This window comes from Homo sapiens, chromosome 15, assembly GCF_000001405.40.
Source record: "Homo sapiens chromosome 15, GRCh38.p14 Primary Assembly".
NCBI classification, from domain to species: Eukaryota; Metazoa; Chordata; class Mammalia; order Primates; family Hominidae; genus Homo; species Homo sapiens.
In genome coordinates, this window is record NC_000015.10 from 30,122,634 (window position 1) to 30,148,980 (window position 26,347).

Genomic DNA, 26,347 nt, shown 5'->3' on the forward strand with positions numbered 1-26,347 from the left:
TGAGGATAAATATTAGGATTATAAAAATCCTCATCTTGGAGCAGAATTTAGAATTAAATATTGTTATTAATATTTAAGGCTAAACATTAGGATTATATAATATAAGCCTGGAACCTGGACTTTGAAAAAAAGGGAACAAAATTAGGATTATGAACATTGTATTCTTATCTCTTGAACTTGCAGGTCACTTCTTTTTCATCATGGTCCTGCTTTTTAATGCTGTTTATTTCTCAAATGCCTGGTGATCTCTGGTTCTTCATTTATATTATGAATAAATGATTAAATTGATTGGTATAGAAGTTGGCAATATGAGTTTCCTTTATTCTTGCCTAAGTCTCTTTCTCCAATAGCTTCTCCTTTAAAGAAAGGGCTGGTATGTGGGTAGGTGAGGCCTGTTGACTGGTTGACTTTAATTTGGGATTCCAGCTGGCTGAAGATCAGTAGGCAGGCTGGAGGCCTCTGCAATTGCCAGGGTGGGTTTTTCTTTGCAGTGGAGCTGGCTTTCCTCATTTATTCCCTTCCCCGCTTCGGTATCTGGAGGACCACAGTTGCTGCTTCCCACATCCATCCATCCAGTGAGCAAGGTGGATTGCTCACTGTAGGAATGATTTTCCACATTTACTCAGGAGGCCAGGGCTGCAGGGTTTATTCTGTGTACCAGGGAAGGGAGATGGAAAAGAGACAGGACCTGATTGGCTCTGCTGTTCCTTGTACAAGGACACAATTTTTCCTTGTGCAGTTGTTTAATCTGATTATTGTCCTGTGGCTCATTCTTTCTTTTTGTCTTTGTTTATTCCAAGTCCCTGAGGCTTCCTTGGGAACGTCTGTCTACCTGTGGTTCTTAGACAGGGGATTCCTTTGTTGATTCTCTGTCAGTCTTAATTCTATTTGTGCATGTCATCTGAGATTTTCTCAAACTTTCTAGTCCACTTTTAGCCCTCCTTTTTGTTTCCAATTATCATTTAATAAAAAGAGCTTGTATTTTAGAGACTCTGGAGGGTTCAGAAAAGTGAGTGTCAAGTGTTCAGTGTGCAATCATTAAAGACAGAGAATATCTCATAAGTTTGCATCTGTGTTACTTACACGATTGTGATTTACGGATGCTTTATTTCTTTCCCTTTCCCTTTTATTTTTCCTTTTGTTTCTTTTATGTATTTATTATTATTATTATTTTTAGAGACTCACTCTAAAAAAAAATAGGGTCTCACTGTGTTCCCCAGACTGGAATGGGACTACAGGTACATGCCACCATGCCTGGCTAAATTAAATTTTTTTTTTTTTTTTTTTTTTTTTTAGAGACAGGGTCTCACTTTGTTGGCCAGGCTGGTCTTGAACTCCTGGCCTTAGTGATCCTTCCATCTTGTCCTCCTAAAGTGCTGGGGATTACAGGTGTGAACCACTGTACCTGGCCAAAGTTTTTATTTTTTAATATGATGTATAAGGTTTAGAAGTGCTTTATTTTATTTATTTATTTATTTTTGAGACGGAGTCTCACTCTGTTGCCCAGGCTGGAGTGCAGTGGCACGATCTCGGCTCACTGAAACCTCCACCTCCTGGGTTCAAGCGATTCTCCTGCCTCAGCCTCCCAAGTAGCTGGGATTACAGGCGCCCACCACCACGCCTGACTAATTTTTGTATTTTTTAGTAGAGATGGCATTTCACCATGTTGGCCAGGCTGGTTTTGAACTTCTGACCTCAAGTAATCAGCCTGCCCTGGACTCCCAAAGTGCTGGGATTACAGGCGTGAGCCACCATGCCCAGGAGAAGTGCTTTTAACTCCACACGTGTTTAGGTTTTTTGGTTTGTATTTGTTATTTTTACTTTTTTCCTTTTACTACATCAAAATGAGTCCTTTATAATTTCTGCCCTAGGGAATTCTAATAATTTTTCTTTGTGGTCCAATATAAAATCATTTTTAATGTATGCCATGAATGTAGTCAACTATTGATAATAATGTAGTACTAGTAGTTTGCTCAGTCAGCACAAATTGTCAGGACACAGTGGTAATTTCTGCATGTGGATTATCTCCTGATTCTTAGAACAACATGAAACCAGGCTCATGAAAGATGAGTAATTATCCCAGGGTACTGTCTCCCTCACCTCCAATGGTGGGCCAGAGCTAGGTCCAAGACTTTGAATTCTAGAGTGTTAGACACCATCCTATGCAGCCTCCCACTGAGTAAGGGTGGTCACTGTTTGTAGGGTGTAGAGTTTGATAGATACGTCTGTTACTTTGACTTCATTAGTTTTATTTAGAATGCTTGAATGTGTGAATGTATTGATTAATATATTCGTTATTGCCTTCTCTCTGTGCTTGGAAGAGAAGAAAATTGAAGTTTACCACTACCATGGGTTTACTTTGCGTGCTTTGTTATTTGGTGTATAAAGATTCACATCTTAGATCTTCTGTAGGTCATATGGTGTTTCGTTTAAAGGGAATCTTCTTCTGAAGAGTTTAGCCTTGAATTCTGCTGAGATTTACATTGGCAATCCTGTTTGCATTTTGTTTGCCTTGGACAGCCATACTTTTATGCACTCCTTTCCTACTAATGTGTTTATTTTGCTTTTGATGTTGATATATTTGTTCAACCAACATTTTTAGATGCCCGAGTGCGCTCCAAGCACTGTCTAGGTGTCACAGTGGCGATTGGGATACAGTCCTGCCTTCATGGATCTTCTGGGCTGGTCGAGGAGACAGACAATAAACCAGTCAATGAATGAATAAGTAACTGCAAAATTTTAGTTCTGCTCTAATGTGGTAGCCATTCACTTCATGGGGGTTATTTAAATTAGTTAAATTAATAGTAGCTTACTCATTCAGCATGTATTGTCGGACACAATGGTACTTTCTGCACATGGATTATCTCCTTTGATTCTTTTAACAACATGCGGTATGTATTGTTATCGGTCCTACTTACGAGGTAACCAGGACTAGGCACATGAAAGATGAGTAATTACCCCAGGGCACTGTCTCCCTCACCCTCAACTGTGGGGGTAATTTTTAAAATAAAAATTAAGGCCAAATACAGTGGCTCACGCCTATAATCCCAGCACTTTGGGAGGCTGAGGTGGGCAGATCAGTTGAGCTCAGGAGTTCAAGACCAGCCTGGACAACATGGTGAAACCCTGTTTTTACTAAAAATACAAAAATTAGCCAGGTGTGGTGACACACACCTACAGTCCCGGCTACTTGGGAGGCTGAATTGGGAGGATTACTTGAGCCCGGGAGGCATTGCAGTGAGCGGAGACTGCGCCACTGCTCTCTAGCTTGGATGACCCTGTCTTCCAAAAAAAAAAAAAAAAATTAATTTGAATAAAATTTGTTGTTCCTCACTTGCATGTGTCATATATTATGTGCTTGATAGTCATGTGTCTAGTGGATACTGGATTGAACAGTGCAGATGTGGGACATTTGTCAGTGCACGAAGGTTTGGTAGACAGTGGTGCCTTAGATGCCGTCATGGAGATGGGTTGGTTCTGAGGTACAGTGTCAAGTCACTGGGGGCACCTGGAGTGGTGACCTGAGAAAACCTGAATTTTGAGAAGGAACCTGTACTGTGAGGGTGTTGTCTATGGGGCATGTGGTACTTGTATTTAGGATTTTGGTAAAAAGTGACTATTCATAAGCTATTTAAAGTTTCTATTTTAAAAGTATAGGGTTTTTAGGTAGTGTGTTTTCTTTTGTTCTAATAGGAATTGTTTTGGTCATATTAGGGAAAATAATTGGCTTGTTGATACATTTTTATTTCCATTGATTAAATCTGGTAGCCATTATTTACTTTTATAGATTGAAAAATGGTTCAGTGTTTCAAAAGTATTTTGAGCTTGTCTTTGAAAAGAGATAGACAGGCAGGTGCAGTGGCTCAGACCTGTAATCGCAGCAGTTTGGGAGGCTGAGATGGGAGGATTGTTTGTCAGGAGCTCAAGGCCAGCCTGGGCATCATAGCGAGACCCCATCTCTACAAAAAGTAAAAAAATTAGCTGAGCGTGGTGGTGCACGCCTGTAGTCCCAGCTACTTGGGGGGTTGTGGTGGGAGGATGGCTTTTCCAATTATCCTACAGATATTTTTCAAAATGATTACTTTTAAACTATAATCTTTTTATTCAGAGGTAGGATGCTAGTTCTACAATTGCCTAGGTCTTCTTTAATTTGTATATGTTAAGAAATTTTAATGGGCAATTTAATAAGTGTTGAAATTTCTAAGAATTATTTCTGTATGTTAGAGTTGTGATAACGCAGACATTTTCCCTGAAGTACTTCTCTGAGTCTGATTTGTTTTCCTCCATGGGTGCCACATAGGTTTCTTTTAAGAAGGTAAAAAATAAAAGCTGACTAAGGTACATATTGATTATTCCAGACAACATGCAGACATCACTCAATGAGTGCAGTTCTCATCAACTCACCATTTGTTTCAATTAGAAAAAATTCTCATCAAAACTAATTTTTCTGCATGAAATACCTTTTCAAATCACACTGAATGTGATTTATTAATTGTGATTTATCAAATTCAGTTTTCTGCTGGATACTAAAGGCACACCTCATTAAGACTAGTGATTATGGAAATAGTACAATATTTTAGAAACTTTTGATTGTAAAAATTTCTTTTAAAATGAATACATACAGATATGTTATTGTTCAGATATTTAACACTTACGTAGAAACTCACTGATCTACTAACAAGTAGAAAAGAGACCTTTAGCCAAATGCCTCTGTACTCAGCAATAAAATGATTAATTACTGTGTTGCTCTTTTCTCTGGTTAAGGCTTTTAACAAATTTTGTTTTTCCTTTTACTATTACACCATAACTTGTTTAAATTTTGTTGCTGTTGCAGAATTACAGCAGACATTACAGTTCATGTCTCCCTGTGTATACGAGGGAGAGTTTCTCTGGGCTGTGTACATGGGGGAGTGTGGGCCTGACCTGTCACATTCAATTTTTATTTCACAGTCTTATATCTAATGCTCATCATTGCATAATGTAACTAGCTGGGGTTAGTTTCCTCAGTCCCTGACTCTTCTCTTCAGAGCCTGTTTTCTCTCCGTTTACAGATGGGCCAAGGTTGCTCGGGTGATTGGTTTACTGGCTTCGCACAAAACTGATCTCCAGGAAAATACACCTGTTGTTGAGGTAATGTCTTTTATGACTGAAATGTGATGAATGACAAGAAATACTGTTGTTGATTCTGTAATTTAGAACATGTGGCTTTCCTTGACCTTCACTTGACTTTTCTTTGTGGGATTGTGGAAATTGTTCAAAAACTTATCACCTCAACAGACCTTTAGGCTTAAACATAGCGGCTCATTTACAATGTAGTCCATCATTAAAATGGCACAGCAGAGTTAACAAGGCTCGTGAACCCTACTCATCATTATTTCATTTGTTTTTGAATAAGACTTGTTCATTTCCCGTTTTCTTGTAGTCTGTCCAACATTTTGTTACAGCTAATGTATTTCCTAATTAAATCATAGCTTATAATTCAAAATTCAAATTCTTCTGGCTTTTAGTGTTTTCGTATGAAAGATTACTTTCTACCTATTCTGTTAATGTATATTACACTTTATTGGTAATAGAGTGTTATACCTTGAACTGGGAGAGGCTCAAGAGTCAGTGTAGGTGAAAAGAACCAAGGCTTTTTAGGGGAAATAGCAAGAGGTCCTGAAGGAAGTTAAAAAGGGTAAGGGAGAGAGGATTTTGTAGAGCTGAAGCTGGTTGTGTGGTATTTGGGGCTTTAAGAGGAATTGGAAAACTTTCTATGTCTGTGTTGTCCACTATAGTAGCCAATTGGTATTTGGAGCCTCAAGAGGAATTGGAAACTTTTCTCTCTGTGCCATTCACTGCAGTAGCCAATTGCTGGGATAGTATACCAGCTGGCCTTACAGTGTCTGGGTGGAGATTAATATAATTTCACTGTATTTCCCTTGCTTACAATTACATCTCTATTTCCTGCAAACTGTTGGATCTCTGAGCTACTAGTAAAATGCCACTAAGTCTAATTGTTTCCTTTTTTGGGGGGCCTAAAATAAATGAATTGTGACCTGTGTGATTACTGATGGTACCCAACTTGGTTCTCAGAGATGTGTCGAGTAGATTTTTATCTAAAAGATTGAGCATATAGGGCAGTATTACCAGGAAGATGAGAAGGCTTAGGATCTTAAAAATGGGGGTTCCTTCTGATGGCTCAGAGCAAAAGGTCTCCAGTGAGATGGAGTAGCTGTAGAAGATGGGAGAGAACATAAAGTCCAAGACAAAGTCCCAAGATTTTAGAGGATATTCATGCATCGTCAGAGCAGGCATTTGTTGCTCAGAAGCTGTGAAGAAAGAGCCTCTGAATATGTAAAATATGACTGTTGAATTAAATGATTCAGTAGTTGCAGTAGATTATGGATACTTTAGGAAGCTGAGTTAGTGAATTTGAAGATCAGTTGGATGAATTCTCTTAGGATTCAGAAAGAAAGAGGATAAAGATTGTGAATTAAAAAGGCATGGATGATAGTTTCAGATGTGTTCCACTATCCAGTATAGTAGCCACCAGCCACTGTGGCTATTGAGTGCTTGAAGAACAGCTAGTCTGAATTGAGATGATCAACTTATAGAAAAGAATACTATGGGCACCCTGTAATTTCCAAACCCCTTGTTCTACTTGATCTTTTTCACAGCATATATCACCACCTGGCATTTTATGTATTTATTTCTCTTTCCATACTAGACTACAAGCTCCATTGGAACAGGGATTGTGAATTGTCTTGTTCAACACTCCACCCCCGTGCCTAGACAGTGTCTTGTGTATATCTAGATACTGACAAATATTTTGAAATAAGTGAATGAAAGTGTATCAGTATGCTTGGGACTCCCTGTAGCAGTGCCTGGAAGATGGTATGTTTTGCTGCTGCAGGAATTCTCAAGGGACTGGGCAGAGGGCATGTGAAGTAATCTGGGACCTGCTTGTCACCCTGGGTGATGTGCTGCCCTTGTTCTACTGGTACTTGCTGTTGCGGCTGCTGCACTCCCACTTGGAGAGTTTGGCCCAGCAGTTCCTGGACCATATTTGTTACTTGTGCTCACTCAGGTTGAGTTCTGTGGCCAGTTTGTATTCTCAAAGTATTTCTGCTACTCCAGTTATACTTTGTCAACGTTGTATTCCTGGTCCTGCCTCAACTGAGAGGAAAGGGTGGGTGTTAATTCCCGAGGTTCTTGTATCTTTGATTCCGGTACTGTTCTCTTCATGGGTGTTTGCTGATGCTTTATTAATTTGAAATGCAAGACCTTAGGGAAAATCATACTTATTTCATTTAAAAAATGGTGTGTACTGAACTATCTGGTGAACTGTTTTGAATTACACACACTGTATTGTGAACTACATTTGGTTGGATAGTAGGGAGCTTATATAATAACTTGAAATTGAGCCAGGTGCTCCTTTGTGATGCCATCTTAATTTTATTATTTCTCCACACCTTTTAGTTCTTTAGTTCGTTACTTTTAATGGCAAAATCTGTGAATTTCTTTTACATCAACCTATTTCCTGCTGTGAGCAATTGGCTGTGATAATTTAAGGAGCCACTAGAGGTCATTCAAGCACTAGAAAAAAAGTTGTGCAAGTTTTAAGAATTTGTTTCAACTTCTGGAAGCAGGATCTGTAGAGGCTGAGCAGGTACATGGTACCACGTTTCATCTTTTTCCTGGTTTTTTAGAAGTTTCTGCTACAGGATGTGTGGCTCCATTCCACTGGTGATTTTTACCATTTGAGAGGAATCAGATGAATGAAAACCATTATAGCCTCTCCAGAAAAATGCAGTCAGCACCTAGCACATGATTTCAGGGGATCTGAAAACTCTGCGGAGTCCACTGGTGAATCTTTGGTTCATAACTCCTGAGACCAGGTTTCTGTAAAACTCACAATTGGGTGCTTGTAGATAATTTTTCAGTAATCAGTAACAAAATTTCAAGTGTAAGATAAATCCTGAATTCTCTATTAGATTTACTATCAGTGAACAAGAAAAATTGTGGTTGAAGTTCCTGTAAGCATTTTATTTTTTATTTTACTTATTTATTCATTTATTTTTTGAGACAGAGTCTCGCTCTGTTGCCCAGGCTGTAGTGCAGTGGTGTGATCTCGGCTCACTGCAACCTCTGTTTCCCAGGTTCAAGAGATTCTCAGCCTCAGCCCCAGCCCCACAAGTAGCTGGGACTGCAGGTTCATGCCACCATGCCCCGCTAACTTTTGTATTTTTAGTAGAGACAGGGTTTCACCATATTGGCCAGGCTGGTCTTGAACTCCTGGCTTCAAGTGATCCACTTGCCTTGGCCTCCCAAAGTGCTGGGATTACAGGTGTGAGCCACTGCACCAGCCTGGTACTTTCTAATATTTTGGATGCTTTCTTACTTGCTAAGCACTTTCTCTTACCTGGAATGTTTTTTACATTACCCCCTCCCCCAGTGATCTAATTTCTACTTTCTCTTTAAAGCCCAGCTAACATTCCATTTTCTCCATCAGGCCTTCCCTAACAGTCCCAGAACTCCTACATTGCCTGGTGTGCTGACCTAAAGCCCTCATTAAGACCAGTAACAAATCAAGCCTATCTTATCAACTGACAACACATTCTGGAACCATGGCGTGTCCATGGATAAGACATGAAGTCCTTCTTTCAAGACTTGGTTTTCTGGTCCTGGAAAATACCAATATGGATAAAAGACCTTCAAAGCTGCTACGATGGGTAAGGAACAATGCACACAGTATACCATTAAGGCAAAGAAGATAGTCTTAATCCTGTATGAAATGCCAATGAAGATGTAATTAATGAATAGACATTTCATTGAAATGAAATCAAAAGACATTTTCCTTCTCTGACATAACAGAGTAGAACTCTCTAGTAAGAACACAAAACTGACCAGCCTGACCAATGTGATAAAACCCCCTGTCTCTACTAAAAAGACAAAAATTAGCCATGCATGGTAGCAGATGCTTGTAATCCCAGCTACTCAAGAGGCTCAGGCATGAGAATCTCTTGAACCCAAAAGGTGGAGGCTGCAGTGAGTCGAGATCGCACAACTGCACTTCACCCTGGGCGACAAAGCAAGACTTTGTTTTTTAAAAAAAAGAAGAAGAAGAGAAAAAGAAAAAGAACACAAAACTCTGGTTACTGCTCTATGAGAATTAAGTGAATGTGAAGGAGAAGTTGGAATAATATTACAAGTTGGTGAAATATTGGAATTCTGGTCTGTTGGTGATTGGTCTTCATCTTTCCTATAAGAGATAGCTCATTACACAATGTATTCTCATTTGTCTGAACGGGATTATTTCCCTTAAGGCGATGGCCTCTTCTGCATCTTTATGTCTCTAATGTCTAGCATGGGAACTACTCAATATATATTTCAGGTTGTTGACAATGATTGCTGCTGTCTATTCCATCTAGGTAAGGGTTTTTGCATTCAAAAGGCCCTTTGCCTTAAGACCTAAAGAGGTTTTGGAACATCAGCAAGCATCCATCTCGAGGTAAATAACTGGAATCCCAATGGGCTGTGTGTGTGTGTCTGTGTGTGTGTGTGTGCGTGCTAACTGGAATCCCAGTGGGGTTTGTGTGTGTGTGTGTGTGTGTGTGTGTGTGCTAAATGGAATCCCAATGGGGTTTTGTGTGTGTGTGTGTGTGTGCGCTCATGCCTGCATACACATGCGTGCACTTCTGGTACATTTTGAACAGGCATCAGATTATGTTCCCACAGCCCCTCTTCATCAAAATGAAGACCTTGTACGTCTGAAATACAGTTTGTGAAAGTCAAATTGTTATCCCTGTGACATAGAACAGCCGTTAAAAATGTATTTCACTGGAATGTCATTCTAAATGAATATTTTTAAATAGATATCCAAAAATAAGAAAATACAGTGATTTTAGTGTAATAAAACTGATTTCACAATTGTTTCAAGAAACTCGGAAAATAAAACTTCAAACTGGAAAAATGTGGCCATAAGAATGCATGGAGCCGGACGCGGTGGCTCATGCCTGTAATCCCAGCACTTTGGGAGGCCGAGGCGGACAGATCACGAGGTCAGGAGATCGAGACCATCTTGGCTAACACGAGGAAACCGCGTCTCTACTAAAAAATACAAAAAATTAGCTGGGCGTGGTGGTGGGCGCCTGTAGTCCCAGCTACTCGGGAGGCTGAGGCAGGAGAATGGCGTGAACCTGGGAGGCGGAGCTTGCAGTGAGCCGAGATTGAGCCACCGCACTCCAGCCTGGGCAAAAGAGGAAGACTCCGTCTCAAAAAAAACAAAAACAAAAACAAAAAAAGAATGCATGGAGTTAGTTCATTCTTCTCGCCCCCTGGAACTTCTGATCAAAAGTCAATACCTTTGTGACCTACAAGTCTCTTTATTTGCCCTCCATTATAGACTGAGCTGTTAATAACATTTAATGAGCTCACATGGATTCACTGGCTAATAAAGAAGAATAGAGTTGAGGACATTGCTGCCCTGTTTATGCCCAAAAATTACCCTAAACTGAAAGTTGCTTTGTGTTCCTTCACTCCCCTCTGCTGGTAAATTTTAATATAGTTCTTAATTTTTTTAAGTCAAATTGATAGAAACATCAATTGTGTTTTTAAAACTGTAAGAAAAAATAATGTTGAACATCACAAAAATGTACTCAATCTTTCCCAAAACCCATTTCTTTCCAGTTAGTTTTCATAACTGTAGGTTCTTAAAAAAAAAAAAATGAACACTTTGGCCGGGTGCGATGGCTCATGCCTGTAATCCCAGCACTTTGGGAGGCCGAGGCGGGTGGATCACGAGGTCAGGAGATCGAGACCATCCTGGCTAACATGGTGAAACCCCGTCTCTACTAAGCCAAAATACAAAAAATCAGCCAGGCGTGGTGGCGGGCGCCTGTAGTCCCAGCTACTCGGGAGGTTGAGGCAGGAGAATGTTGTGAACCCGGGAGGCGGAGCTTGCAGTGAGCCAAGATCACGCCACTGCACTCCAGCGTGGGTGACAGAGCAAGACTCCGTCTCAAAAAAAAAAAAAAAAAATGAACATGTCATCCATACTTCTAAGGTGTTGTAAAGATGTGTAAAGTTTTCACTTTTTGCATCATATTCACATGTGGCTATATGCCCTTTTCTCTTCAAAGTTTTCTTTATCTTGATTACTTATCAGAGGCTTGACTGTTTTATTATCTCAGTCTTTTGAAAGAATCCTCCTTCAGTTTTATTTTTTAAATCTAGTGGTTTTTCTTTTTCCTTTTTCCTTATGTCTTAATTATTTCCCCCTTTTTGTTTGTTTTGCTTTTCCCAGTTTAGTGGATCAATGTAATTTAAATTGCTTTTTAAACAAACATGTAAGGGTATACATTTTCGTTGGGTGCTGTTTGACTTTGTTGCACAAGTTTTAAAATCTATTTTTTAATAGTTTGTATTTTCTAAATTATTTTATTACAACTTTTGTTCACATTGCTCTTACTATTAATTTTTTATTTTTATTAATTAATTAATTAATTTATTTATTTATTGAGATGGAGTCTTGCTCTGTAGCCAGGCTGGAGTGCAGCGGCATGATCTTGGCTCACTGCAAGCTCCACCTCGGGGGTTCATGTCATTCTCCTGCCTCAGCCTCCCAAGTAGCTGAGACTACAGTTGCCTGCCACCACATCCGGCCTTTTTTGTATTTTTAGTAGAGATGGGATTTCACCGTGTTAGCCAGGATGGTCTCGATCTCCTGACCTCATGATCCACCCACCTTGGGCTCTCAAAGTCCTGGAATTACAGGCATGAGCCACTGCACCCGGCCCAAAAGCTTTGTGTTTTTACAGATATTAGACATGTTTCTTGTTTAAGAAAAAAAAATCTTAATGAAAACGTAGGAGAATAAAAGAAACATTTTTCCAAAAAAGAGAAATCATTGTGATTATTTTATCTTATTAGAATGTTGGATAATATAGTCTGCTTCATTAATCATCAAGCATGCTATGCATTTTCCATTTTTATAGGATCTGTATCTCAGTTAAGGTAATACTGGTAATTTTTGTACTGTAATCAAAGATGAAGAATATAGGCCAAAATCATAGACCTTGCATAGAAGCTGGATAATGAAGACAGCTATGGAGAAAAACATAGATACACACACACGGACACACATATATATAAAGTATACACACATATATTTTTTAAAGTTTTAAAGCTTTTAAAGCAAAAGCCGGCCCCTCTTCTCTTCCAGAGTGGGAGGCCTCTCCCCTCTCTTAGAGTGGGTGGGGAGAGCAGTTGCCATGGGCAGCTTTCCTTGTGAGCCACAGGTCCCTCTGGACACACTGCTTTCTGGCCACGCCCCCTTTCCTTTTCATCTTTCTCATTGACCAATGGGCTTGGAGCATTAAGGCCACGCCCCTATTCCGCATTCTACTGGGGCCCTGGTTACGCCTCCTCTGGCTCAGTCACACAGCTGCCTGGTAGGTGACTGGAGGCCTTGATCGGTTCTCATTGAGATTTTGCTGCTGTGACCCCAACCCTGCCTCCCTCCCCACCCTGCGATGGCAGAAGAAACTCAACACAACAAATTGGCTGCAGCCAAGAAAAAGGTAAAAACGCACTAGGTCATAGCCCCTCAACCCAGCCACAGATCCCCTCTGATGACAAGACCCCTGCCAGAGTCTATACGACTCCTGAGGCACACTGGACTGGTCCCCCCTACCCCGGTGCCTCTGGGCTACCCCCACCAAAGTTTTGTCAGTCAGCCCCACCCCTTCAGCAAGCAGCCCAGTCCTTGCCCTCGCCAATCACCCCAGGGTGACTTTGGGTGGGTGAGTCCTGGGGCTTCCCGCTCCATTACTGGGCCCTCATCTCCTGCCGCCCCAAGCTTGATCTCCCTGGGCTCTTTGGGCTCTCATCTCCAAGGAGCCAGGCCCCACCCTCGCCAGTCATCCCTGGGTGACTTTGGACTGGTGACTCCTGGGACTCCCTGCTGCAGACTGTGCCCTCCCCTCCTGCTGCCTCAAGGTCGACCTCCCTGGGTTCTTTGTGCTGGCGTCTCCAAGGAGCTGGGTCCCAACCCTGTGCTTCCCTCCCCCATCGTGGAGCAGCGACTTGGACATGGTGCTGACATGGTCCCTCCCCCCGACCAGGAGGAGTGGAATGTTGTGATGTCACAGTCCACCTAGTAACTGCTGTTACTGCAAGACTGGCCTTTGATCTTACGACCCAGTCCCCTAAGCGTTCTCACCCCGTTTCTGGTTCCTCTGGTCACAGCACAAATTTCCAGCTGGAAGGGGAATGGAGACTATGGGACCTAGGAGCAAGAGGTTCCAGGCTGCCTCACTCCCTTACAGATGTTGACGGTGGGAAAAGCCTACACTTCCCCCATGAACTCAAAACGTTGACAGTATCTCTGGGTGGCAATGAGAGAATGGGTTTGGTTTGGTTTTCTCCCAGGCTTCTACTTTCCAGAGAGATTTTAACATTTTTTTCTGAGTTCTCCACCTCATATTCTAATTCTCCATGGTTCTGGGACCAGACTCTCCTTCAGTCAGTGGTCTCTGAAGTGACATTTGCTCATCTTCTGTGGAATAGATCTTGGGAAACTGAACTTGACACCTTGAATCTTCCTCATATTATCTCAACCTTGGGTACTTTGAGTGCCACAGGATAAATATGGGACATCTTTCTGAAGCATCAGTTTCCCTTGATTCTCTTGAGATCAAGAGAAAAAACATGAATGTACTTAGGGATGACAGTCACATAGGTTTCTAAGAGTATACCAGACCTCTCTCTGAAATGAGGCTTGGGTTGTCCTCTTTCTGATAAATTCTGATTTAAGAGAAAGGCTGCCTTCTGCCATGAGGACACATTGATATAAGAGTTTGAGAGGTACTGGTGCACTTCTTCACACTAACAGACGTGTGAGGATGTGTGACTCTAAACCACATGGCATACAGTTCCTGCCTACTTAATGTTTACTTTTCTACCTCTGCCTCTGGTTTTGGTCCCTGGCAGCTGCTGATTCTTGGCAAAACCTCAGAGCTTGGAGTCAGAAGACTGAGTTTCAAAGTTCCAGTATTGCCTTTTTCTTTTTTTTTTCTAGCCATGATATCAATCCTTCTCAGTCACTAAATGAGTGTGACAACACCTTGTACAGTTGTTGGTGTCATTAAATCAGATGGTGTGTAAGTGTATTTTGTAAAAACTGTAAAGGAGGATGTGGCTGTAGGGGCTGACGGTTCTCATGAGTATTACTGCTCTTCTTTCCAACAGTTAAAAGAATATTGGCAGAAAAACAGCCCTAGAGTTCCAGCAGGAGCGAACAGGAACAGGAAAACAAATGGCAGTATCCCTGAGAAAGCCACTTCTGGTGGTTGCCAGCCACCTAGGGATGTGAGTCTTGGCTGACCAGGCTTCTGGGGACAGGGGGCCCAAGGGGCAATAGAGGGTAATTCTTAAGATTGTGGATGGACTGCTGGGTACTGGTTAAGAATTCTGGCTTTAGCCGGGTGTGGTGGCCCACGCCTGTAATCCTAGCACTTTGGGAGGCCAAGGCAGGCGGATCATGAGGTCAGGAGATCGAGACCATCCTGGTTAACACGGTGAAACCCTGTCTCTACTAAAAATACAAAAACATTAGCCAAGCGTGGTGGCGTGTGCCTGTAGTCCCAGCTACTCAGAAGGCTGAGGCAAGAGAATGGTGTGAACCTGGGAGGTGGAGCTTGCAGTAGCCAAGATTATGCCACTGCACTCCAGCCTGGTGACAGAGCAAGACTCTGTCTCAAAGAAAAAAAAAAAAAAAGGAATTCTGGGTTTGAATCCTGCCTCTCCATCTGCTCTGCTAGGGATATGATTTAGGGCAAGTTGCTAGACCTCATCGGGCCTCTCTTTTCACATCTGTATAATAGAGGTGTTATTGTTTCACTTCCATTTGTGAAGTTTAAATGAGATTTGTTATTGTTGTTTTTATGTTAATCCCTAGTACATGGCCTGCTGTAAACACTCAGAACACCCAGGATATGGTTTGATTTTCCTCATCCCCAGTCTCAGGGGGAAACCAGGACAATGAGAACAGCCACTTGCCATCAGGAGTCACTGAAGGGGCCCCAGGATGGGATGGTGGGGAGATAAGAACCATGAGAGAAGTTGGCACAAAGGAGTTATGGGACAAAAGGTCCAAGATAGGCAGAAAAGAAAATGTTGCCAGTTGATGGGGAAGAAAGGAAGTCAGAGGGCTCAGACACTGTGGGGGACAGAACATCTCCATGTGCACTCTCATCTCTTGTAGTCAGCAACAGGTTTCCACAGGGAAGGCCCTACATCATCTGCTACCCTGAAAGATCTGGAGGTAAGAGGCTCTGGGCGGAGGTGCAGTGACCCTTCGGGTCAACCCTCCAACCTCCTCCTCCAGGTGGGACTGGGTGCCCCTCTGCCAGCTGAGACAGCCCACACACCCCAGCCCTAATGATTGTTCTCTCTACCTCTCCCCCCACTCCTGCTCCACCTCCTCCTCTCTGCATGCACCTCAGAGCCCGTGCCAAGAACGAGCAGTAGTCCTGGATTCAAGGTCCGTAGAAATCAGTCAACTGAAGAACACCATCAAATCTCTGGTAAGAGTCCACTGGGGTCCCCTGATTCCACGCTGCCAATCCTGGGCTCCAGTTTCCCCTTGGGGCCCTGAAGAAAGGGGCTGGGGGTCCCTGGTGCCTGGGACAAATAGGGAGCTTGGGTGCCCAGGCCTCACCTGGAGGGACCCCAGAGCATGCAGCATGGCTCTTCTTTTGCTGCCCTCTTTGCCGACTCTCTCCTCTCCAGACACCCCTGCTCGAGTCCTTGCTACACACGCCCTGGGGTTGTTGCCTCTTGGGGAAGTGCTAGCCTGACTGGTTGTCAAGGGCCCCGTATTTCTGCCATGACTCAGTCCCTAATTTGCTCTTTGATTCTGGACAAGCCACCTCTCCTTTTTGGGCTCGTGTTTCCAGAGGAGGTAGTGAGTATCAAAGGTCTCTGTTAGCTCTCGAGTCTGAGATTTAAAGGCCCCCTAGAACGGAAACCTCAGGGCTAAGGGCTCCTGTCTGTCCTTTTCCATCCTATATCTGCTGTAAAGAACCGTACCTGGCCCATACATGCTCAGTAAATGTTTATTGAATGAACCCACTTCTCTAAATCACAAGCTGCCAGAAGGAGGGGCCTTTCTGAAACTCCATCTCTAGAGGTTTATATTGCTGTCCTCTCAAGAGATTCCAGATTCAGACTTTGAGTTCTGTGGCTGTGGGCAAAAGCCAACAAAGACCCAAATCCTCTGTCCTTGGGAGCTTGAGGAGAGTTTACCGGTTCGTGTTCCCATTATGTCTGAGAACTTTGCCTTTAAAATCCATTCCTGGCCCCTGCCTACCGCTTCCTGGTCTGGGGAATAGAGTTGAGGGGGCCACCCTCCCATCCACCTTATTTGACTCTCCCCACAGAAACAACAGAAGAAACAAGTGGAACATCAGCTGGAAGAAGTAACGTGATTTCGTTTCCTCGCAACATGACTGCTGGGTTTGGGGGGCACTCAGACATACAGGCCCCAGTCTCGTCTCACCCACTCCCAGCCTGGGGATGAAGGCTCACCCTTCAGATTCCACCCCATCCCCACAGGGCCCCTGATAACCTGGTCCCATGGGTGGGCCTGTCCTGGGGCATTGGTGGCATTCTGGGGGCATGTCTCTTGCTGTGCCATCTCTGCCTCCCCCTGGTAAGAGCTCTGTCTTCCTCTTCCTACAGGAAAAGAAAGCAAACAACAAGAAACAGAAAGCCAAAAGGGTGCTAGAGGTGAGTGGAGGGTGTGCAGTTTCCTCCTGTCCTCCGGAGAAGGTTTCTTTCCTTCTCTTTCAGCACTTGCTTGGCTTTTCTCCCAAAGGTTCAAATCCAGACATTGAACATACAGAAAGAGGAACTAAATACGGACCTGTACCACATGAAACGTTCTCTCAGATACTTTGAAGGTGGGAATCTGGGCACCCTGTCATCCTTCAACCTGGCACTTTGACAGGTCTTCAGGGGGAGTCCTTTGGGCCCCATCTCAACTCTCTCATTACAGAAAAGTCCAAGGATCTGGCTGTCCGCCTGCAACATTCATTGCAGCGTAAAGGAGAGTTAGAGAGTGTTCTCTCTAATGTCATGGCCACACAGAAGAAGAAGGCAAACCAGGTGAGTCCAACCACCTGCCCCATCCCCTGGGAGCCTGGCTTTGCAGATGGAGGAGTGAGCCTAAAGGTCCCTTCTGCAGGATGGAGTGTCCTGCCCAGAAGGCAGCATGGCCATTTCTTGCTACTTTTTTGTATGGTTTTTAGTGGCAGCCTGGGGCTGAGTCAGCTGCTGTGGGTGAGTTGGGGGTCACTGTGTGGAGTGAGCACTGGACGCAGAGCTTGGAGGCCAAGTGCCTGCCCCGCCCTTACCTGGCTGTGGTCTTGGGCAAGTCCTAGTCCTAGGTGGGGTATTGGGTACTTGTACTGTGAAGGTACAGAAGAGTACCTTTAGTATGTTACCATTTCTGTAGAAAGAGGAAACGTGTGTGCGTGTGTGTGTGTGTGTGTGTGTGTGTGTGCATACTGTGATAATATACATAAAACATGTCTGCAAGGGTTCATAAAAAAGTCAGGAGAGAGCAACAAGATGGCCGGGAGATACTTCCCTTCTGTACCTTCTGAGTTTTGGACTATGCAAATGTATCATCCTTTCAAAAAGTGAACAAAAGATTAATTTTCCCCTTCCTATCTGTGCCCCCATCCCCAGCAAGAAAAACGGGCTTAGAGAATTGGATAGACCTGGGTGTTTATATCCCAGCTCTGCCTAAGTGAACTTAGGCAAGCACTTAACCTCAAATACTCCATGTTTTTTCATCTCCACAATAGAGGGAATCATAGTAACTGTCTCCTATGGTGGTTGCGAGGATTAAATGGGATTGTTAGCACGGTACCTGGTGAAGCATTCCACAAAGGTTCAAACAGTGGTAATAATAACAGTAATAACAATAGCAATATTATCTGATCTCTCTGGGCCTCTGTTAGCCAGCTATAAATTCAATCTCATTCCCTGTCCGTTCCAACTTTACTGAGTTCTTTTAAAAACCAGACCACGGGCTTGGAAATGCCTTGATCTTTACTGACCGAGTTGTATATTGGGCCTAGCCCTAGCCCTTTTAAGGGGCACTGTGTGGAAATGCCCAGGCTCTCCAGATTGAAACTTCTCACTCTTCACCATCCAGTTGTCCAGCCGCAGCAAAGCACGTACGGAGTGGAAGTTAGAGCAGTCCATGCGGGAGGAGACACTACTGAAAGTGCAGCTGACACAGGTGAGGTTTTCTGAGGGAGTTATGTGGAAGGAAGATGACCCCAGGTGGCCAGGAGCAGGTGAGGACCAGTGACAGCCCTTCCTAAGTTCTGTGCCCATTCTTGCAGTTGAAGGAGTCATTTCAACAAGTCCAATTAGAAAGAGATGAGTATTCTGAACATCTAAAAGGAGAGAGGGCCCGGTGGCAGCAGAGGATGAGAAAAATGTCGCAGGAGGTGAGATCTGACCCTTCAGCCCCCCCACATTAGATAGGTCACTGGATCTTTCTGGTCATCTGTAAAATGGGAATAGTAGAGCCAGAGGTGGTCATGGGTCTGGGCTTTGTGGAGGTGGGGGCAGAGAGGGAGAGGGCAGCCTGTCCAGCCACCAGCCCCTCTCTCCAAGGCCCTTTCCCCTTGTGCTTTGGGCAGATTTGCACATTAAAGAAAGAGAAGCAGCAAGATATGCGTCGGGTAGAGGAGCTGGAGAGGAGCTTGTCCAAACTCAAAAACCAGATGGGTAAGATGGGGCTGGCATGACCTAGGAGCAGGACTGGCATCAGAGGGCTGTGAGGGTGGCTTAGAGTGCCCCAGGGAGGTGGGTGGATGGAAGGGCTTTGAGGCAGAGGGAAAGAGATCTGTGCCAGGAGACGGCGAGTCTTGTCATCTCAATGAGTCTCAGTGTCTCAGTGTCCCCATCAGGAAAGAGGGCCCGTTGTCAGCCACCCGCAGTGCTCTTTCTCTGAAAGTGCTTTGGAAGACTGGCTACCATCTGGGTGCGAGGAATCATTAGCAGTGAGGCCAAGTTTGAGGAGCCTGAGAGGAGCTGTGCGCCAAGAGGAGGGTTTTTCTTTTCCGAGAATCCAGAGGCCCTTATTATCTGCTTCCTTTGTCAGCTGAACCCTTGCCCCCGGAGCCCCCAGCAGTGCCCTCTGAGGTGGAGCTGCAGCACCTGAGGAAGGAACTAGAGAGAGTGGCAGGAGAGCTCCAGGCCCAGGTCAAAAAGAATCAGCGCATAAGTCTCCTGAACCAGCGACAAGAAGAGAGGATTCAGGAGCAGGAAGAGAGGCTTCGGAAGCAGGAGGAGAGGATTCAGGAGCAGCACAAGAGCCTTCAGCAGCTGGCCAAGCCACAGAGCGTCTTCGAGGAGCCGGTGCGTTGCCCAAACTGGGGAGCTTGCCCTCCTCCCTAGCCCTCCGGGCCTTTGTTTCCCCACCTCTAAAATGGGGCAGTGTAGCCCTCACATGAAATGTTACTTCTAAAGGCACCTGTGAGCCAGGTGGCTGTGGGAGAGAGGGAGTGATTTTTCTAACCTGCCTCCAGCCTTCCCAGTGCCATGGGAGGCAGACACCAAGTTCTGGGGTCTCCAGCTGCAGTGGGTGGCTGCTGATTGCTTCTCTCTGTCCAGAACAATGAGAACAAGAACGCACTGCAGTTGGAGCAGCAAGTAAAGGAGCTACAGGAGAAGCTTGGCGAGGTGAAGGAGACGGAAACCTCCACCCCATCCAAGAAGGGCTGGGAGGCGGGCAGCAGACTCTGGGGAGGGGAGGTACGAGGCCAGAGGCAGCTTCCAGCCTGGGGGCTGGTGACCACAGCACCCCCCAGGGCAGTCCTGTTTCTTGCTTCCTGCCTCTGACTTTTAAAGGTGGGTAGCCCTGGGATCCTCTCAGGTCTGGACATCATCATCCTAGCTAGAGGCATGGAGCCCCCAATCACAGGGGAAGAGACAGTGGTATAACAGGCTCCTTATGCCAGGTGCAGTGGCTCATGCCTATAATCCCAGCACTTTGGGAGGCTGAGGCAGGAGAATCACTTGAGGTCGGGAGTTTGGGATCAGCCTGGCCAATGTGGTAAAACCTCATCTCTACTAAAATTACAAAAAAAAAAAAAAAAATTAGCAGGACATTGTGGCGCATGCCTGTAATTCCACCTACTCGGGAGGCTGAGGCACGAGAATTGCTTCAACCCAGGAGGTGGAGGTTGCAGTGAGCTGAGATTGCACCACTGCACTCCAGCCTGGGCCACAGAGTGACACTCTTGTCTGAAAACAAAACAAAAAGACTCCTTAGATTAAAACTGGATTCCAGCCTCGGTTGCACTGGTCACCATTCAAGTACTTTGCATCTCTAAGTCTCTGTTTCTTTAACTTCAAAGGGAAGTTAGCATTTTCCTTACAGAGGTGCTGAGGATTAAATGAGAAGAGGGTATGAGATTTGAGGCTGGGGAAGGAGGCATGGGGTTCTAGGAAAGGGAGGCAGTCACTTAGGCCTGGAGTAAGGGGACAGGGGCCTGGGCAGCTGACAGAGCCCCACAGTGCCCTCGCTACCCTATTAATGGGCCCAGAATCTGGAAACCAGCCACCACGTGCCCTCACACCCAGGGTCTTCCTGCAGGTGGAGCTGAAGAGCCAAGAGGCTCAGAGTCTGCAGCAGCAGCCAGACCATTACCTGGGTCACCTGCAGCAGTACGTGGCCACCTATCAGCAGCTGACCTGTTAGAAGGAGGCGCTGTACAGGCAGTGACTGCAACAGACCCAGCTAATGAACCAGCTGCAGCAGCAGGAAGCTTGGGGCAAAGCGGTGGCTGAGATGGCCTGCCAAAAGTTGCAGGAGACCCAGGGGAGGGAGCTGCCGAGGATGGGGCTGTGAGGGGGATGACCTGGCAAACTCCACCCCTTCTCACTCTGTCCTGGCCCCTCAGGAGCACCTGGAAGCTGCCAGCCAGCAGAACCAGCAGCTAACGGCCCAGCTGAGCCTCATGGCTCTCCCTGGGGAAGGTACGGGAGACTGCTCAGAGGAAGAGGAGAGAGCCCCAGGAGGAAGGGGGGACTGCTAGCAGCATAGGATTGAGGAGTTGGAAGAGACCTTTAGAACAGCTGGTCATTATGCCGACCGGGTGCCTGCACTAAGTTCGGCATCAGTGTGGTGACCTCCTGTGAGCGGGGGGTCACCAAGTTGCCTAAGGATGGCTGAACTGGCCAAGGTCAGAAAGGGAGCAGGTCAGAACTCCCACATCGACCAGTAGTGGGAGTGTGCCTGGGCGGAATAGCAAGATCTTGATTCTTAAAAGTAAAAATAAAGAACAACAGCTCATTCCTCTCTGGGGAGGGGCTGGCTCAGGGTTACACAGTGAGGGTGGAGGTAGAGGTGGGCCCACAGTACCTCCCTTGTTGGGTTGTCTGAAGACCCCTCTGGCCACCCCCCACAGGACACGGAGGAGAACATCTGGACAGTGAGGGGGAGGAGGCACCTCAGCCCATGCCGAGTGTCCCAGAGGACCTGGAGAGCAGGGAGGCCATGGTGAGCCTGACTCCCCCTGCACCCATTTTGCCACCTTTCTCTGTGGTCCCTCCAAGACCCCTTTATGCTCTTCGTTTCCCTGCCTTCTGATTTCTCTGGACCCTCACCCCTTCCGAGAGCCAGTGGTCAGACACCATTTCACCTGTGGCCAACAGGTGCACTCTCTGAGGCCCCAAGGGAAGGGGCTGCGCTCCACCTCTCTGCCCCATTTCTTCTGTGTATGCCCCTAGAAGAATGCTCACATCTTGCCCTCAGGTGGCATTTTTCAAGTCCGCTGGAGCTAGTGCCCAGGAGAAGCAGGCACAGTTACAAGAGCAGGTGAAAGAGCAGAGGGTGTGCTGCCAGCGCCTGGCTCACCCGGTGGCCTCGGCCCAGAAGGAGCCAGAGGCAGCCAGAGGCCCTGGAGCCCCAGGGCCTGGGGGCGAGTCTGTGAGTAGGGAGACCCACTGGGCCCTGCAGGAAGTCACGGAGAAGCTGGCCCATGCCAGGACTCACCTCCACCTTCTCCATGACTTGAAAATGCCACCTGAGGGCAGGTCGCTGCCGAGATGTGACTGCAATATTTTGGCTCCAGAGCAGCTTTATGGACCACCTGAAGGAGAAGGCAGACCTGAGTGAGCTGGTGAAAAAAGAACTCTGCTTCATCCACCACTGGCGAGACAGACGCCATCAGTGAGTGGGAGGCCAGGGCACGGCAGGGGGAGCTACAGGGCCGTCGGAGGGGCCCCAGCGTCTGAGCCCTGTCCTCCCGCAGGAAAACCCATCACCTTTTATCAGAACCAGGGGGCTGTGCCAAAGATGCGGCACTGGGAGGAGGACACCATCAGGCTGGAGCTCAGGGAGGAGATGAAGGTAGGGTGTGCAACATCTCTGTGGGGGTGGGGGTGGGGGTGGGTGTGAGGGTGGGCGCAAGCAGCGGCATGGCAGCTGAGCACCCCTCCCTCCAGGTGAAGCTGCTGGAGCTGCAGCAGATGGTATTGCGGCTTACAGCAACTACAACAATGGGCACAGAAAATTCCTGGCCGCTGCCCACAACCCTGCTGATGAGCCCGGTCCAGGAGCCCCAGCTCCCCAGGAGCTTGGGGCTGCAGACAAGCATGGTGGTGAGTAGAGCCCTCAGGTGGGGTGGGCAGGCAGGAAGAGGGGGCTCCCACTGTGCTCAGATCCCTGCCTCCCTCTCTCCAAAGATCTTCGTGAGGTGAGCCTCACCTCCTCTGCCCAAGGAGAGGCCAGGGAGGATCCTCTCCTTGACAAGCCTACTGCACAGCCGATCGTGCAGGACCACCAGGAGCACCCAGGCTTGGGCAGCAACTGCTGTGTGCCATTCTTGTGCTGGGCTTGGCTGCCAAGAAGAAGGAGATAAACATCACCATCCTCAAAGAGCTGCTCAAGAAATTTTTAAATAAGAAACCAAGTTATGGGGTTAATCTCCTACACAATTCATTTACTTCCTTTGAATGTTAGACTCACTCATGATTATTTGTGTTTCTAATTTATAGTTTAAGTTTATTTGTAAAAAGTTAAAAGAGAGTGGGTGTCTGTGGCTCTCACTGATGTTCACTCTGGCATCCTTTAGCATTTTTCTTTTTTAATTTCATAATTGTAGGTCATTAGCGTGCATATCGAGTTTGCCCTTACGTGGTGGGAGTTCAAACACACAAAGACCCACTCTTTGCCCAAAACTGTTCTCTTTGGTTTGGAATAGGCTGCCATGCTTTTTTAATGTTATTGCAGCATGTATATTCACTACAGCATTCAGACAAAATTTGCCTATGTTCTGCTGTTGTTTGATCTAATCTTAATCACAGTGAGCTCTTCCTTAGCTCAATATGTAGTTTGCCCCCAAGTGTGCACTGTTTATTACTTTGTAATACGCCACTATGAGTACTGACATTTAGAGTTGTTTAAAGGCCAAGAACTGGAAACAGCCTTTCCTCCATTTTCTGTGTATTGGTGATGGGAGTGATAACCTTTTGGGGGAGCTTTTTAAATCTCACAGAAGAGGAAAGTGGCCTCCTCTGGCAGGTATGTGCAGGATAGAGTGTGTTTCATCTGTTCCGGTGCCAGGAATTAGCGGTGTATTATGGTGGTTCCCTTAGGATTTGTATGTGCTCTGGGCTCATGAAGATATTGCATCATGAGCTGCAGCAGTTGTACTCTTTTTCGATGACCTAAAAAGGGCTTATTTCTGAGGAATGAAAGGTTCCCATCGTTGACTGTGGATGTGGAAAACCTTTCCTAGCTTAGAGCATTTGTATCTACAATACATTTTAAAGTCAGAGTTCATGTTACCTGTTTTAATCACATGACTACATGTCCCAGTACACAAAAGGGCACTGGTTGGCATTCTTCTTAATGTATTTAGTGAAGATCATAAGAAATCCTTTATGAGTTCAAACGTCCCTGGAACAGGCATACAGGCTCTAGTCAAGAATGAATTAGAGTGAAGGAAAGCTGTGTGACACCTGGCATTCCTCTCTGTTCACGGAGATTCTTTGAGGCTTGAAGATTGATTTTACCATCTAGACCTCTTTGGCTAATACCTATTCTTCAACCACCTTGGTTACTCTGACATAGGAATTTACTTCTTTTTCCTTGAATGGAAAACACTTTAAAAAATAATAGAAACATTATTATAAACTAATATATGTGAGATACTTAGTTGAAACAAAAAGGAGTTTTAGTAGATGGTATTGTACTCTCTTTGAAAATCAAGGAGAAGTTTATGAAACTTAAAATGTGTACAAACTGCAGTGCAATCTACTGTTCGTGAATGTCAATGTATTATCAGGAAACGTGTCTATACAATCACAGAGTTATATTTTCTCACAGACTTCTTTACAAAGTGAAATATGTTTTTGTACCTCTGGGTTTCTGTTCGGGACATATTTTGTGCGATATTTATGTGATTGTGCCTATGCATGATGAATGAATACATTTCAGTTATATATTGCCTAAATCGTAACTTGATGATGCTTGGGAAAGACTCAACAGTTAAAACTTCATGAAGTTCTAATGTCTGTGTTCCAAAACACATCACATTGTTAGGATGCAGGGAGATAGGTGTGTGTGCTCCCTGCGGTGGGGATTTCTAGTTACTAGATCATCTCCATTTTTAGCATTTGGCATCCTCATGATACTTCTATAAATATGACATTAACAGGAGAGCAACAATACGATTTTACCGATGGAATAACAGATTTGCTGGCATTCACTGAAAGAGTGCAAATATTCGGTCCTTGTGACTTCCACTGACTCTTCCAAATTTTATGAATGTATCAATGTATTAGATAAACCCAGTTTCAGAATGATAAAGAAAAAATCTTAGACCAAATAATGCGGCTAATTAACAGTGGTACGATTTGTAGCCCGTGGGTTTAAAATGCACTTAAAGTCCTGTTCTCGCCTTTTATTTTCTGAACTTGCCGCTTTTGCATTCTTTGAGTTCAGTTTAAAGACAGTTACTTTAAGAGCATTTTAAACCCTCGGGCTAGAAATCGGACCACTGTTAATCAGCCACATTATTTGGTCTAACGTTTTTTCTTTTATCATTCTGAAACTGGGTTTATCTAATACATTGATAAATTATTGCAAAGGTACTTTTATCGTTGAAATCACTTCACTTTTACCCTGATAAATATCAGTGACTAGGAATGACCTTCGGATAGCGTTTAGCATCTGTAACCAATCTGACAATAATGTGTTCATGAGGTGCCTATGGATTAAATCACACACTGGCATATTTAAGCTGAAGGTCAGTCTGGAAAATAAATTTACTATATTGACTGAAATACCACTCTTTGTGTAGGCATTTGTCATATACTTAAGAAAACGCTAAAAAGAATGGAAATTGTATGACAATAACTTAAGTCTTTCTCCAAAGTGCATGCAGTCTTTTGCGATACCTCATTCAGCCGAGTATTTGTGCTCTTCCTCATTCAGTATAAGGCAGCTTTCAGTTTGCTTAGAAGGCAACATTGGAATGTTAGAGTTCATCAGAAACATAGAATTTTAAACTGTGAGTTCCACTGAATACATTTTAATGTCTGTAGGAAGAATCAAAACACCTATTTAAAGATGGCAATATATAATAATCATTTTAAAAGTATTTGATTCAACCTGATAATTTTCCAGAAATGAAAAAAAAAATCAGCTCTAAAACCAAAGCGATTTTAGAAAATTTGAAAATGTAAATCAGCCCTATCCATAATATAGTTTCTCTAAAACTTTATCTTAGTCATTTTAAAATAATATAACTATTAAAAAATGTAACTGCTATCTTAATGTTCTGAAATAATTTAAAACATTTTAAAATATGAATACTGTAGTATAAAAGAAAGAAATGGTGGGAACGAAAAGCAGAGAAAGAAATGCCAATTCCAGTCCAAAGTTTTATTTGCCAAGTTTTCTTAGAATGAATTTTACCAGTTTATGAATTATTGTAAACAGAATGTGTCATGGAAATACTGAAAGATTTTTCCCTAGAGTGGCCTTATTGACTGCTGGTGTGATGCCACTGTAATGTAATAAATTATTAAATTGTTTCAATGTGTTGTTTTTGCCTTAAAATTTTATTTTGTGTTTCTTGAAAACTATAGTATTAAAGGTATTGATACTGTGCAAATGCTGGGCATGCTTGGCACGAGATAATGTGTTTCATTTTTACAAAGTTGTGATATAACTATGCAAGTGTTTCTTAAAAGAACACAAGATTTAAAAATTATGGGATTAAAAAAAGTTATGGGGTGAAAAAGTTATGGGATAAAAAATGTAAAA

The 26,347-nt window shown here is 44.4% G+C and overlaps 1 protein-coding gene and 2 pseudogenes across 3 annotated transcripts in view; all 3 read left to right on the plus strand.

Annotated features, from left to right (window-relative positions):
* ULK4P3 (ULK4 pseudogene 3) overlaps window positions 1–9,115 on the plus strand; it is a 28,017-nt pseudogene extending 18,902 nt beyond the window's left edge. The window contains exons 4-5 of the transcript NR_026859.1: window positions 5,052–5,130; window positions 8,495–9,115. The product of NR_026859.1 is annotated as a ULK4 pseudogene 3 (transcript). The remainder of the gene's footprint in view (window positions 1–5,051; window positions 5,131–8,494) is intronic.
* A 3,302-nt stretch (window positions 9,116–12,417) lies between these two features.
* GOLGA8T (golgin A8 family member T) lies at window positions 12,418–26,115 on the plus strand. Of its 2 annotated transcripts, none has more exons than NM_001355469.2 (19): window positions 12,418–12,563; window positions 14,233–14,352; window positions 15,248–15,307; window positions 15,489–15,569; window positions 16,425–16,463; window positions 16,726–16,773; window positions 16,862–16,946; window positions 17,042–17,151; window positions 18,209–18,295; window positions 18,402–18,509; window positions 18,705–18,792; window positions 19,169–19,425; window positions 19,681–19,749; window positions 20,973–21,048; window positions 21,480–21,571; window positions 22,146–22,243; window positions 22,326–22,423; window positions 22,519–22,674; window positions 22,759–26,115. In NM_001355469.2, the coding sequence occupies exons 1-19, from the start codon at window positions 12,516–12,518 to the stop codon at window positions 22,932–22,934; spliced, it is 1,896 nt and encodes a 631-aa protein (NP_001342398.1). In that variant the 5' UTR covers window positions 12,418–12,515; the 3' UTR covers window positions 22,935–26,115. The 2 variants fall into 2 exon arrangements, with proteins under 2 accessions (NP_001342398.1, XP_024305800.1); XM_024450032.2 differs by lacking the exon at window positions 12,418–12,563 and adding an exon at window positions 13,154–13,319.
* Window positions 21,100–21,336, plus strand: RN7SL469P (RNA, 7SL, cytoplasmic 469, pseudogene; annotated as a pseudogene).
* Window positions 26,116–26,347: the final 232 nt, after the last annotated feature.